Raw genomic sequence first — 14,534 nt, 5'->3', positions numbered from 1 at the left:
ATCAACTGGATGTCAGCTTAACCTGTGATGTTTGTTTGCTTACTTACCCCTTTACTAGACTATGAATCCCATGAAGAAAGGAAATTTTTCCAATTGTGTTTATGCTGTATTCTCCAGTGCATACATCAATGTCTGACATATAGTGAGCTGAATGAGTTATTAAGTGAATGAATGTGATTGTGTTCTGATTATAGTAATTTGATGAGCACTCTTTTGTTATTCTTCCCATAGAAGTGAGGTTTATTCAGGGAATAAAGGCTTGTGAAGGACTTTGTAAACAGAACCTATGGAAGTAACTTTTTTGAGTACGACCCCTAGTGAACAGAGAAAGTGTTCTGAGATTTCAGGGTGGGAATACAAAGAAGATTGGAAAGGAAGCTCTGGGTACTGAGCTCCAGGTAGGGAAGTTAAACATCACAACAGTAGATTGAAGTTGCAGATTACCTTGATCACCCTTAAATGTAAGGAACTCTTGTCAAGGAATATGACCATTGATAAACACCTGCTAGATGTTAAGTTTGTCTGTCTTCTGGATGGCCTATTCACATCTTTTAGAATAGGTTTCACTGCTTAAAATAAATAAGTCTTTAAATAAATAAATACCCAGTTTTTCATAAAAACCAGAGAGATCAAAATCAGTTCACTGATTACAGTTGTCATTACATAGTGCAAAGATATTTTATTTTTGAAGGCACTCAGAAAAATCATCCTATACTTCAAAATGTATAGAATAAACTAAAAACAAAAATAGAGCAGGAAAGATAGTAATAAAAGTTATACCTTTAACTTGGTCATTCACCCAAAATGCTCAGTACGCAGTATTACAAATCACATGGAACAAGAAGAAAATGAATAGAAAGAGCATTTGAATGTAAATCTTAATGTGCATTTGAGATTAGTGCCAAAGTGAGAATCAGAAATCTAAAATCTTTGTCCAAAAGATTGGAGAAATGATGATCTAGCCTGACATTGAAAGTGAAGTGCTCTATTCTACAGGGTGTGTGAGGAGGGGTGTGTTTGTAGAAATAGAGAAAACAACAGGTGTTCAAGTTCATGATTGAATTGCATGGTGACTCGGCCTCTAGGCAGCACAAGTGCAGATAATAACTGGTATTATCCAAGACAGGTATTTGACTTTCTAGATCATAGGGAGAAATTTAAGCTAAGAAATTGGAATTATCCTCAATAAGAGAAAATATACACTAAAATAGCAATGATTAGGCACATAACTAAGAGAGAAATCCAATCAATCTTGCTGAAATGATGATTCATAACAGATGACAATGATAAGAACCATGACTGGGCATATTTCCAGTCCCATGAAAACAGCATTAATATAATATAATATAATATAATATAATATAATATAATATAATATATTTTATACTATATGTAATATATATTATACACATAATATGTTATATTGTTATATAGTTTATATATATAATGTATAAAAATATATAATATATATCATATATTATATTATATATTATATATGATATAATATATATCATATCATATATTATATATTATATATCATATATTATATATCATATAAATTATATCATATATTATATATCATATAATATATATCATATATTATATCATATATTATATCATATATCATATATCATATCATATATCATATATCATATATTATATATCATATATCATATATCATATATTATATATCATATATCATATATCATATATTATATATCATATATCATATATCATATATTATATATCATATATCATATATTATATCATATATTATATTATATATTATATATGATATAATATATACCTTATATGATATATTGTATAATATATCATATATCATATGATATATTGTACAATATATCATATAATATATCATATTATATGATATATTGTATAATATATCATATGATATATATTATATGATATATTATATATAATACATATATTATATATTATATATATTATATATAAAAACAGCCCAATATAAATACACTACTCCTAACATAGTGCTTGCTTTAGTCATGAGTGATTCAAGAGCTGACTGAAGCTGAATTCACAAGAGGCGTATGTCAGTGAAAGTGGCTGAAAAAAGCTGGACCTAGCACTATAGTTACTGGACTAAAGTGAAAGCCTGAATTTGAACTTGTAGATATAGACTAATAGTTTCAGAGACTATAAATTTACTTAATTTAAGAAAATAGCATTTTTACCAAGACATAAAAGACCAAGACATAAAAGACCAATTTTGATCCAAGTGTTAGACAAAGGCAAATAAAATGAAGTGTACACCCAGAACAAGGGCAATGAAAAATTAAATGTCTTCAAATACAAATCAGGAGAGAGAGGTTCCATTTACTACTCCTAGATAAGACTTTCACCAATGCCCTAGGGCGGAGTAATTAACAGTTAACATCATGCCTTACATATAAATACCCAGACACACAAACACACACGCTCATATACAATGATGAATATATACATAAACCTATGTGGTATATATATTATATACTCATATATTTCATGTATAATTTTTGTTACTCATTATTTTTTCCTCTAGTGCTATGCTATATCTTCCTAGACTACTTATCCAGAATTAAAGAGTAGATGAAACAAAAACTTTAATGAGATGTAAGGAATTCAGGGAAAGTTAGTTTCAAAGTTTTCAGGGACTATTTCAAATAAGTAAATCAGAACTTGATATACAAACACAAACGTCTAGGATGACCCATTCTTTCTGTAATTATATTCAGGGAAATAGTTCTTATTTTCAGAACAAAGATTTGGCCAGAATATGGGCCACAGAGAGAGAAAGAAAGAGAGTAAAAGAGGTGCCTTGTTCTTTTAGCCTCTTACTTATTTCTGTGACTCCAAAACCTATTAACCTGTTTTAGCCTATGCTCTTAAAAAAACAACAACAACAACAACAAAACCAAAAACGAAAACACTGTGACTGCTAAGTCCAGGATATCAAAAAAGTATTAATGTTTTATGAAATATTAATACACGAATCAGAGTCTGACCCTGCCAGGGGCACTAAGAGCCCATAACAGTACAAAGGTGCCAGATGCCCTTATGGTCTAAAGCAAGCTGTGGATCCACTCGTGCCTGACTCACGGTAAGTTCGCTTCTAGGTAGTGTCAAAAAGTTAATTCTTTCTTACTGTCCTACCTGTGCCTGCCCTTTATAAATGTACCTACCTGATTTATTATTTCTTTATCTTTCCTAGTCAATGACTTTATCTTGAAAATAAAGGAGGGGAGGAATTGTCATTTTCTTAATGACCGCTTCTCTAATTCTTATCTGCTATATTGACAGCAAACCATAATGTCAAGTCACAAAATAACAGTATCTCTGGTGAGAAAATTAGTCCATAAATACCCAGGTTTCATTGTTTCTGGTATTTTGCCAGTGGACTGTTTTGTGCCTTATTATGGGCCATAAAATTGCCAGCAATTCTGAAATTAAGAACATGGACATTATAAATTGGATTACATATAAACTCACAAAGCCAATGTGCTATAACTTCCCTTCGTGGAAATTTCTGAGATTAAGTGAGAGTCTAAGGCATGAGAAATTCACCAATTAAAGCATCTGAATGTTGACACTGAAATAAATTTTAGAGAATAAGTAGGGCAATTAATTGCTATTATTCTCAGCATTTGCTTTAGAAAGCTAAAATAGTATAAGGAAGTAACTATACACTTTGAATTCAAAATAACATAAAACTGATGCTCAGTTTCATTACGTGCCAAGTGTTTCACTTTGCACAAATCATTTACCACTGATTTTCAAATCTCTCATCTGTAGAAAGGAGAAAATGCACTCTAATTTAGGACTCATGCAGATGATTAATATATAATTATATTAGTCTTTGGTATGTGACAGATCCTACCTTTCATTATTAATCATGGAGGTATGACTTGGGTGGTAGTAGCTTAATAAACGTCTATTTATACCTAAAGCTTTATACTTTCCAAAACTCTTTTTGTACACAAGACCTATTTTATAAAAGGAAGGTAAAAGACACAAAACAGCACCTCACCTTTTCTGATCACTTGCTACATGATGGGCCCTGGTTTCATCATTGTACATCCATTACCTCATTTTATTCTAAAAATAACTCCTTGGTATAAACATTATTATTATCAGTCCTGATTTAGCCAGAAAGAAACTGAGGCTTAGAGACATTAAGTTGCTGAAGGTTATTAGCAAGTGTCAGGACAGAATTCAACACCTCTTTGTGATTCAGGGACTGAGTTTATAAGCATTGACCAATACTGCCTGCTGAAAAATCTAAGGGAGTTAAAGCTGAATATGGGTCTCAAGTAAACGACACTGAGTTTGGTTGCTGTGGGTAATATTTTATTATTTCTGTGTAATCGGAAGGATTTGAAAGAATAAAAATATACACATAGCATGCAATGACCTTTTGGAATTCGGAAGCTGCAAAAGAATTGATAGATCATCTTTTCCAATCAATTTACAACATCATTACCATATTCTTTATCATAGTTAGGGAGACATATATGTTGATGCAAAATAGCTTTGCTGTAACTATATATAGCTGAGAGAAATGGCTAAATATAAATTTAATCAATAATATTAAGAAATACATGCACAATTACAATTATTAGGTCAAACAATTCTCTAGGGTTTTCTTAAAGTGTTCTTTTGCAATAAAAATACAGATTATTTTCAATATGATATATGACTTTGAATAAAGGAAATGCTTAATTTGAATTTCAATTTTTAAGCTTGTGATTCACTGAAATTGAATTTCAAAGTGCAAATTGCTGGTTTATAAAAAATCCTATTGCATAAATGATACTGTTGCATAATAAATATTTAATAGTGATTATAATGATACATTGTGGCATTTTGGTAGGCTATTTAATACATATTTTGTGGTTGTATTTTGTATGGCTACTTTTATTCTGGTCTTTTATGAAATTTTCTGATATGTAAAGACCTAGGTACAGACAGAAAACATTTCCTGCTCCAAAATTCTTAATTTAAAAACATAAGATGGTGCCACCATCATGACTACACATTTCCAGTATGTTCTCATTTATAAATGTTTTATTTTTAATTATAATAGATGCATAATAGTTGTCCATATTTATGCGGTAAATGTGATGTTTTCATGCAAGTATTAAATGTGTAATGATCACTAACTTGTACATTAAAATGGTGAAAATAATCATTTTATTTACATATTTTTAAAATAAATAAATAAATGTTTTGATTTCCGATGGCACTGACTGGGTTCCTTGGGGAGCAATCTCTGAGACAAAGATTCATTCATAGAAGTGTGCTGCGAGTATTCGAGTGACCAACATCTGTAGTAGGAGAGGGAAAGGGTCAGGATTGACAAAAAGAAAAGTAGTTTGGGAAACGGTGACAACAAAGGTTCAGGAAACAGTATAGGAATTCTGGAGCTTGGAGAGCCTTGCAGAATTGTCCTGAATCAGGTCAGAGTGGCTGGCCCTTTACGCCCCTCTCAAGCTGTCATTGAATGCAGGCTGCCTCTAGGAAGGTATCACAACTTGTGTGAGGGGGGTTCTCCCCAGCTGAGGGCAGTAACACTGATGGAGCATGTGGTGTATGCTGCTCAGAGTGCCAGCGGTAGGCAGCCCTCGGTTTTCAGCCTTTTTGGAGATTGCCTCAGATGATCCAAGGATTATCACACATTCCCATTGGTCTATATCCAATCACTGACTGATGTGGGAATATCAGAAGCTGGCCTTTTGCTATGGACTGAATGGTGTCCCCCAAAATTCATACGTGTATGTTAAAAGCCCTAAGCCTCCGTGTGACTATGTTGGAAATATGACCTTGAAGGACAGATTAAGATTAAGAGAGATCATAACGGTGAAGCCCTGATCTGAGAGAACTGGTGTCCTTTGAAAGAGAAAGAGACACCTGAGGTTGCTCTCTTGCCACCATGCGAGGACACAGCGAGAAGGAAGCATCTGCATGCCAGAAAGAGAGCCCCCAACACAAAATGAGCCCTGCTGGACACTTGAACTTTCCAGTCTCCAAAACCGTGAGAGAAAAATATTACATTTTTCTTGCCCCATAGTCCATAGTGTTTTTTATGACAGCATACGTAGATGAAGACATCTTGCAGTCCAATTGGCAAGAGTTCTGATTCTGTTTCTCACGGAACTCAGACTTCAATGGATGGAACTAGAAAAGGTATAAGAAAGAAGACATTAGGATGGGATTTGGAACTGGATAACTTGCCCCTAACTGGGAAAGAAGACCCCATCAGTGGTGATAATTAAAGCATATATTGCCCTGGGCAAGGTGACAATACAATTGCTGAAACTCCCCCTTGGTAGTTGGGGTAGACGGTATATACCAGTGAAAACCAATTCATGGGCTGGTGCAGTGTATCAATGACTTGAGAAACATTAAGTAAAATACTAACTATAAGAACAACAGAATCAGATGGCTATTGCTAGGGAAAAGGTAATATGAAAAGGTTGAGATAGATTATTTGAAAATCCAAATCTAAATGTTAAAACTCAGAAGGCTTCCTTGGTAGCATATAAATGGGCCTTCATTCCCTGCAGTGAAAGGACAGAGAAGGCTGAGGACCAGAACCAGGAGTTAATTTTAAGAGGCACTGAACCCCTAAAATGTTTAAACTCTTAATACAAACAAGTCTTATGCCAAGACGAAGGACCTGGTTGGAATGGAATGGGGTCCTGACATAGGCAATGCAGACACCGGAGTTGACTCTTCAGAAAATAATTTAATCTGATTTCCCTGGACCCTTCTGAGAGCACAGCAGTGGCACAGTCCTCTTGCTTGCAGACAATGCAGAGGCCTCTTTCCCGCAATTCAACAAGACAACTAGGCCTTTCTCAGGATATACCACTCCCTCACTATCTGGTCATGAGGCCAGTAGTAAGAATTCTATTAGAACATAACCCAGGTGAAGACATGCTGGGCCTGATAAGGAAAGAAAATGACTATAGACTATTAACGTATACTAGAATAAGCTGTGAAAGTATGCATAGTGCTGAATTTTGAGGGAATTATGTCATACAATAGCTAAGGGAGAGTTTACTGACTTGAAAATACTTTTTTAGGACACAGGATTTAACACTCTAACACAGACTCTGGGAAATTGTGAAATACCCTGTTAGGATGAATTATTGAAGCATGGAGAGAGCAATGGCACACTTTAAGTGTGGTAGAGCCATCAGAGTTGCAATGACAGATGGTAGAAAAAACAGACTGAAATGCTTAGAGAAGTTACATGCTGCAGTGAACATAGGATATCAGCTTGCAGAACTCTAGAAGACTAACTTCCATGAGAGGTCACAAAGGATATAATATTTACTAAAGCAACATCGAACGAACTCACTGGTGAGAAGCACAAAGCACTACTTAGGAGCTGAGTGGAGGCTGTGCTCTATGAGCCAGGGCTGACTGTAGCAGATAGAGGTTGCCAAAGAACTGGGCTACCATTGGCAATGGGTGTGACAGGACCTCCACAGCAGAAGAGGACGGGAGATTTCACTCAGCCATCAGAAGCCCAGTGGTAACAATTATTGCAATGAGTGGCAGAGATGGAGGACCAGCTCAACAGCCTGCAAAAGTTACAGAGATGGTTATAAAACAGGACATCCTTAGGGGTAAAATATATCGGCAGCCAAGAGGGTACTACTCTATTGGTATAATCCAAATAAATCAAGTATATAATTAGGAGGCTGAAAGCCATCTCCCAGATAAAAAGATTTCTTTCTCAGTGTCAAAATCCGAGTGAATTTTCAGACTCAGAATTGATAGATTAAAGAAGAGCCTGGGTCACTGGGACCAAAGAGCCTGCAACCTTCCAACGGTGCATGACATTGCTTCCTGGTCTTTACCTACAGGTGGTTATGGCCATTTAGTTGATCAACTGTCCACTGAGTAAAGGATAATACTCCAAACTTTTCAACACCATTGAACAAAGGAACGAAGTGGACCAAAATATTATCATGCCTCCCTATTAGACTAAGCATATTTTGGAGTCAAGCCATAAATGAATTCTAGTCTGTATCTGGCTGAAATTGGGTCCGTTGAATCCTGGACCCACTCTGATCATTTATGTAGTCTTCATATAGACATACTTGTTTATTAGCTCAAGACTCAAAGCATATCCTCAGCCTACAGGTTTATAGCTATCATACTGGGGAAGGTCAAGTGGAAGCCTCTAAAATCTATCCACCTCATTTCTGCCAAAATAAATAGTCAAAAACAATATCACATCTCAGGTTCAATGGTGGAAATTAGTATCACTTATAGAGACATGAAGGATGCAGGAATATGTTTCCTTAAATATCTCTATGAATTTCAGCAAACCCCACACATACACACACACACACACACATACACACAAATAGGACCTGGAAGATAACAGAGGATTCCTACACACTTAACGAAGTTGTTAGTAGTTTCTATTATTGCTGCTGCGCCAGATGGAGTATCTTAGCTAGATAAGATATTATATGACCTTAGGTAATGTGGCAAATGGTTTCTATTCCCGTTAGAAGAGGATTAGAAACTATCTGCATTCACATGGAACTGACAATGGTATACATTTCAAGTTTTGTCCCTGGGTTCTTTTAGGGATCCTGCATTCTGTTACAGTGAATAGTCTGAAGAGATCGGCCCCATCTGGTAGTTCCTTAATGTGGTGCATTATGTATTGAGAGCAAATGAGCAAGAATTGGCCAGCATGTTGAAGACTTTGATAGGACATCTGTCCTCCATAATACAGGAAATAAATGCTACTAAGACTCAAGGTCCTGCCACATCAGTACAATTTTCAGAGGGACCAGAGGTTTAGGGTATGCTAGAATATCCCACTCCCCTAGTAAATGACAGCATATTATACCTTGCAAATCCCCCAGGAAGGAAGGAGACATAATTCCCAATAACTTACTTTTAGTATTGAGGTAGAATATTATATTTCACCCCAGGAATGCCATTTTGATTTGTATATTGGGTAACACAAAAGTTTGCAAGCTTTGAAAGGAGCCCAAAGGAGGAAAACCATTTTGCAGTATATCTAAGCTGTAGTACAAGTAGCCCTGAGGCTAGGATCATAAGCTCTAGCAAACACCATGATATTAGAATTATATTACAAGTACCATTGGTGGGAAAAAAATGTTTTGAAGAGTTCATTATAGCCACCAATGGGAGAATAAAAATACACACTACTATGGTTCTGGATCAAAACTGCCAACTACATCAGAGAATTAATCATATTTAAAAAGTAGCACTTGGCATACTGTCATAAAATCTGCTGGAGTCATAGAGCTTGACCGTGAGTTAACAAATAACCATACAGCCCTAGATGTCCATCATAGGCTGGGTTTTGTGCGGCCTACTGAGAAATAACGTCAGATGGTGCTAGCAACCACATTATAAAATGGCACAGCTATGGAACTTCAGCCAGTTTCTGCCATGGCCACCCCAGTGTTGGTACAGTGAACTATGTATTCAGTGACCATGCAAACAGTAATGGAAGCCATGGATTCAAAAGGATGAGCTCCCACTTGCCAAGACTGATTAGCCACTGGTGTCATTAATTATATAATTTACCGTAAGCAGAGGGCAACCTTGAGTCCCCAAGATGGGATTATCTCTCAAGAAAACCAACAGGCTCTTGTTGGTAAGTTACTCACCTAGGACATCTCCTATCTCGAAGGAATCAGCATTTCATATTAAAATAAATATACATATATTCTGGGCATTGTTTTGCTTTTCTCACCCTCAGGGACCACTGTCTAATGACTTAGAGAGTGTTTTGTTGTGATGGTATGCGAGCCTACACAGTATTACATTACGCCAAAGGATGCTTGTATAGCAATAGAGATGTGGAAGTGGGCCCATAACTTGAAGTCTACTAGTTATCTTACATATCATACTACCCGGAAACTCATTGTTTGGTAGAACACTGGACCAGCCTCTTGAAGACTCAAGTAAAGCCTTGCTATATAAACAATACTTATGAGGAAGGGAAATATCTTCCAGAATATAGTTACTACACCCCGAATCAAATAAATGTATACATTAGTGCACCCTGCTAGGTGGAATGAATGTTCCCAGGGAATAAGAGCAGAGGTGTTCTTATGTAATTGGAAACAACACACCCAATCTTGTACATGTTGTGTGTCTCATCTTTACAACATTGGCCTTTGTAGGTTTAAAGGTCCTGACAAGCAAAGACAAACTCTTCCCTGGGGACACAGAAATGCTTTCATTGACCTACAGTCTATATTTGCCACCTGGCATCTATTATCTCTAATCCAGAAACTCTCTCTAGACACCATCATTGTAGATCTAGTTCACTTTTATGTGTTCTGTGATACAGTCATTCCCCTGGTACTGTAATGAAGCTTTCCGCACAAGCTCCGATTATCTCATATTAAAAGGATATCAATGGTAAGGCTCGGCATGGTGGCTCACACTTGTAATCACAGCACTTTGGGAGACCAGGGAGAAAGAATTGCTTGAGCCCAGGAGTTTGAGAAGTGCCTGGGAAACATAGTGAGACCCCATCTCCACACACACAAAAATGATAATAATAAAAGTTAGCTGGGTGTGGCGGTGCATGCCTGCAGTCACAGCTACTTGGTGGGTTAAAGTGGAATGATTGCCTGAGCCCGGAAGGTAAAGGCTGAAGTGAGCTGTGATCATGATTGTGCCATTGCACTCCTGCCAGAGCAAGAGAGTAAGATCTCGTCTCAATGAACATAAACATCAATATATAGATATATAATAAATATATATAGACATATCATACATATATATCTATGTATCTGCCAAAAATATGTTTTAGAACCAATCATTATTTTCTTGGTATTCTTTCTCTGTGAGTTACTAGCACTATATTGTGCAAGTCATCACCAAATTTCTCAGAAGTTTAATTTTTTATAATGATGGATGAAGACAGTAATATCTACCTTGAGTGGCTTGTCATAAGTATTAAATAATAAAAACTAGCATTAAAAATATCTAGCATACCTAGATATATGTTATATGTTATAGTTATATGTTTAAAAATTTGTGTTTATTTCATGCCTTATTTATCTTTAAGAAACTTTATAGCCTGATCGGTGCTGATTCTTTTTCCAAAAAGTCACGTAAATTTTTATCAGGACAATGTTTTCTGTAACAACCATTATTTCTTGTCTTTCTGCCATAAGTGGAGCAAAAAGATGTGAAGGATCTTGAGTTTTCATACTTTCTAAATGGGCTAAGAGTACAGATGTCAGAAGCTATGCCATGCTACACTATGAAATATGTTTGTTGAAAAAGTTTCCACTTCAACATGATTTTGGAATGAGGTGCAGACTTTTCCATACAATATCTATGAATAAAAATATTCATTTGGTATTTGATTACTAATTAATCAGATATTAATTGCATTCTCTATTATAAAAGCCATATTGTGCAAACACACACACAAGTCAAATTCCTAAAAATATCCTATATAAAAGGTTTCAACCTCAGTATTTCTATAGATGCTATGAGAAATTATAAAGTATAGTCATTAAAGTAATCCTCTTAAAGGCCAAGTCTGGCATGATTCAAATTAATTTGAAGACTCCTTTCTTAAGTAATTGTTTACGTAGCTAGCTGGTTTAGGAGAAAATGAAAAAACAGAACAAAAACTACACCTTGCACATAAATAAAAATTTATTGCTCAGTAATTATCCTTTCCATACTTGATGCTAATGATTCCTGACAGTTAACACAAATGAAAGCCAAAAACAAAGAAAGCAGCTTTAAGAATATTTCAAGAACATGAAGCAAACGTGGACAATTTTTTTGCTTTTTTTTTTTTTTTACTAATAAAAACCTACAGAAGCATGTTAAATTTCTTATTATATATTTGCCATATCCAACTTTTAAATTCTTTTTCATCTCCACTTTATCTTAGACTGGGCAACAGCAAACTCAAAAAAATGCATCATGGGGTAATACAAATTGCCTAGGACTAAGAGATAAAAACCTAAGATTCATGGCCTAGCCTTGCCTCCAACTAATTTTTTGTCACGGCTTGTTACTCTTTTCCACTTCCCTCTCTGGCTCTTTGTTTGTTAGCCTCTGTGATGCTTAATTTCATGTGTCAACTTGACTGAGCCACGGGATTCTAGATATTGGGTCAAACATTATCCCAGGTGTTTCTGTGAGGAGGTTTTTAGATGAAATTAGCATTTAAATCAACAGACTGGATAAAGTAGATTGCCTTCCCTAATGTGAATAAGCCTTGTCTAATCAGTTGAAGACCTGCATAGAATAAAAAAGTGATCATCCTTTGAGTAAGAGAAAAGTCTGCAGGATGCCCTTCAAACTGGAATGTTAGCTCTTCCTGGTTCTAAAGAAGCTCACAGCCTTTGGACTCAAATTAGGATACTGACTCAAAGATTCTAGACTTGCTTACTCTGGAAAGCTGTCTTCTACATTAAATCTACCTAAAGAGATGGCTGTCTTTTGGACATACACATTCAACATTTCATTGGCACCTATGATAAAGAGGATCTATAGGATGAACTGAAGAGTGCAGATGACAAGGCTCTGCCCCCGCCCTTGTGCAGCATCCAGTAGGATGCTGCCCTAGGTTTCGTGCTCACTGAAGTTCTGGTATAGACTTCCGAGGTGTCCTTTAGATAGATCCCATCTCTCCAAAACTGAGAGAAAGATGCTAGTTGTTTGGATTCTGCATTAGAGTGTGTTTTCCCTTGGGACTAAAAATATTTCATTTAATAATTATCACTGATCAAATTACCTGAGTTCTTCTCTTTGGAAACTAGGTTGAAAAAGCCAGACTCCCATTTTTAGGAAAAAACAAAAATAACAACAACAAAAAGAAAGAAAAACATTAAGATACTTTACAAAAAAAGACAAGGAATTGCTCATGAGTATACACATAAACTATGTAACATTTAGTAACCATCAAAGAAGTTAAAGCTGGAAAAATTAATGCATATGTTATCAGAAATTTAAGGAAGAAATTGCTCATATATTAAGTTACCTGGTCTGGGTATAACTTAGGAGCCACATATTTGGGCATTTATAATAAGATTCTCAGGAATCCTTAATATTAAGTAAAACATACATTTTTTGATGTCTAATTGATTTATTTGGTAGTCACGTAGGTGTGAAGGAGAGTGCCATGCCTGTCTTATCAAGAGTTCCACTTTGGGGTTAATTGCAGTGATAGGATTCTGGGATTTCAGAGCCCGAAGGGATATTTGGAGTTATATGGTTCAATCTTAGTACTTTATATACTGGAAGTTAGAGAAATCATAGGCTATTTCCTCACTTTCCAGGGCAGTGCTATTTCCTCTCTTATCTCTACTGCTCCACTGGAAAACATACAATGAGCAGCAGCTCAGTCCGCTAAGAAATTTTTTCCCTTAAAATTGAGTCTGGTTCCTACCAATCTGGATTTCTAAGTTGTTCTATGATTGGGTTTGTTTATTGCTTGCGGGAGAAAACCATTGTACTCAGCTGCTACCTCCTGTCACCAATATCTTACCTTATTCACCTTCTTGCTGCTCTAAATATCTCATCAATAGTTAATGTCCTTTCCAAATGGCTCCATAAAACAGGCTAGGTTTTATAAGAAAAGCTGTTCAATACGTGTCCAAAACAAATGATGGTTCTCTAATGTTATATGAGGAATTTGGTGCTTCTGCAAGTATCTTTACTGTGTGAAAGATTAACATCTCCAATATAGTTTCCACCCTGTCTTTCACTTTAGAGACTGTTCAACCTCCCTAGTTGCCTTTTCTCCTGATGTCCATGAAGCTGAACATTCCTGGACTGTGTTGCTACTCAGTTCTGAGTAAAATAACTGTGCAAACTTAACAGAATCAGCTCTTCATTTGATCTAGGCCAGGCACAAATATGACACAAAATATTTTATCAAAACTTCATGAGAAACCTTTAAGAATTAAAGATCTGAGGAAATTTTACAGGTGGGGAAACTGACAGTCAAAGAGTTTAAGAAAAGTACAAAGAAATAGTAAACAAAGTTGCTTCACTGTATTCAAAGCAAATGTCCACTTATTTATTGAAGTATTTACTAAACCGACATTTATTGAACACTTACAACTATCAAGGTTCTTTTGAAGTCATATAGTGGCTGCCCTTAGAGACAACAGACGACAAATATTTCCTATTCAGACATTTAAAAATATGCTAGACTCTTACTTAATCTTTTCATGATTGAGAAGGCTTGGAAGAAAAAGTTCTAGCTATGTTAATAGAGATTCTTTACAGATGCACACTTTCTCCCACAAAGGATAGCTTTGCAGGGCCATTTCAAGATATGACAAAGCATGTTTTGGGGTAAAGTATTTTGATTTTTTTCCTTGTCTCATAATGTTATGCCAGAGGTAGGTTGAAAAGTAAGTAACAATATATAAGGTTAAATAAAACTCATCGGTAAGAATGTATGGTTTGTAGGGCATGACTCCCCAGACCCCTTAGACAGGAATTTGGGCAAGATAATGCAA

General features: G+C 35.6%; 1 long non-coding RNA gene across 1 annotated transcript in view; it reads right to left on the bottom strand.

The window, feature by feature from the left end:
• Positions 1–4,343: 4,343 nt before the first annotated feature.
• Positions 4,344–14,534, bottom strand: part of LOC105373436 (uncharacterized) — a 330,895-nt gene continuing 320,704 nt past the window's right edge. Inside the window, exon 5 of the long non-coding RNA XR_001739293.2 lies at positions 4,344–6,192. This is a non-coding gene — a long non-coding RNA (uncharacterized LOC105373436). The remainder of the gene's footprint in view (positions 6,193–14,534) is intronic.

Source organism: Homo sapiens, chromosome 2, assembly GCF_000001405.40.
Source record: "Homo sapiens chromosome 2, GRCh38.p14 Primary Assembly".
In the NCBI taxonomy this organism is placed as follows: Eukaryota; Metazoa; Chordata; class Mammalia; order Primates; family Hominidae; genus Homo; species Homo sapiens.
Note: the sequence above shows the minus strand (reverse complement) of the source record. Positions and strands in the feature narration are given on the sequence as shown.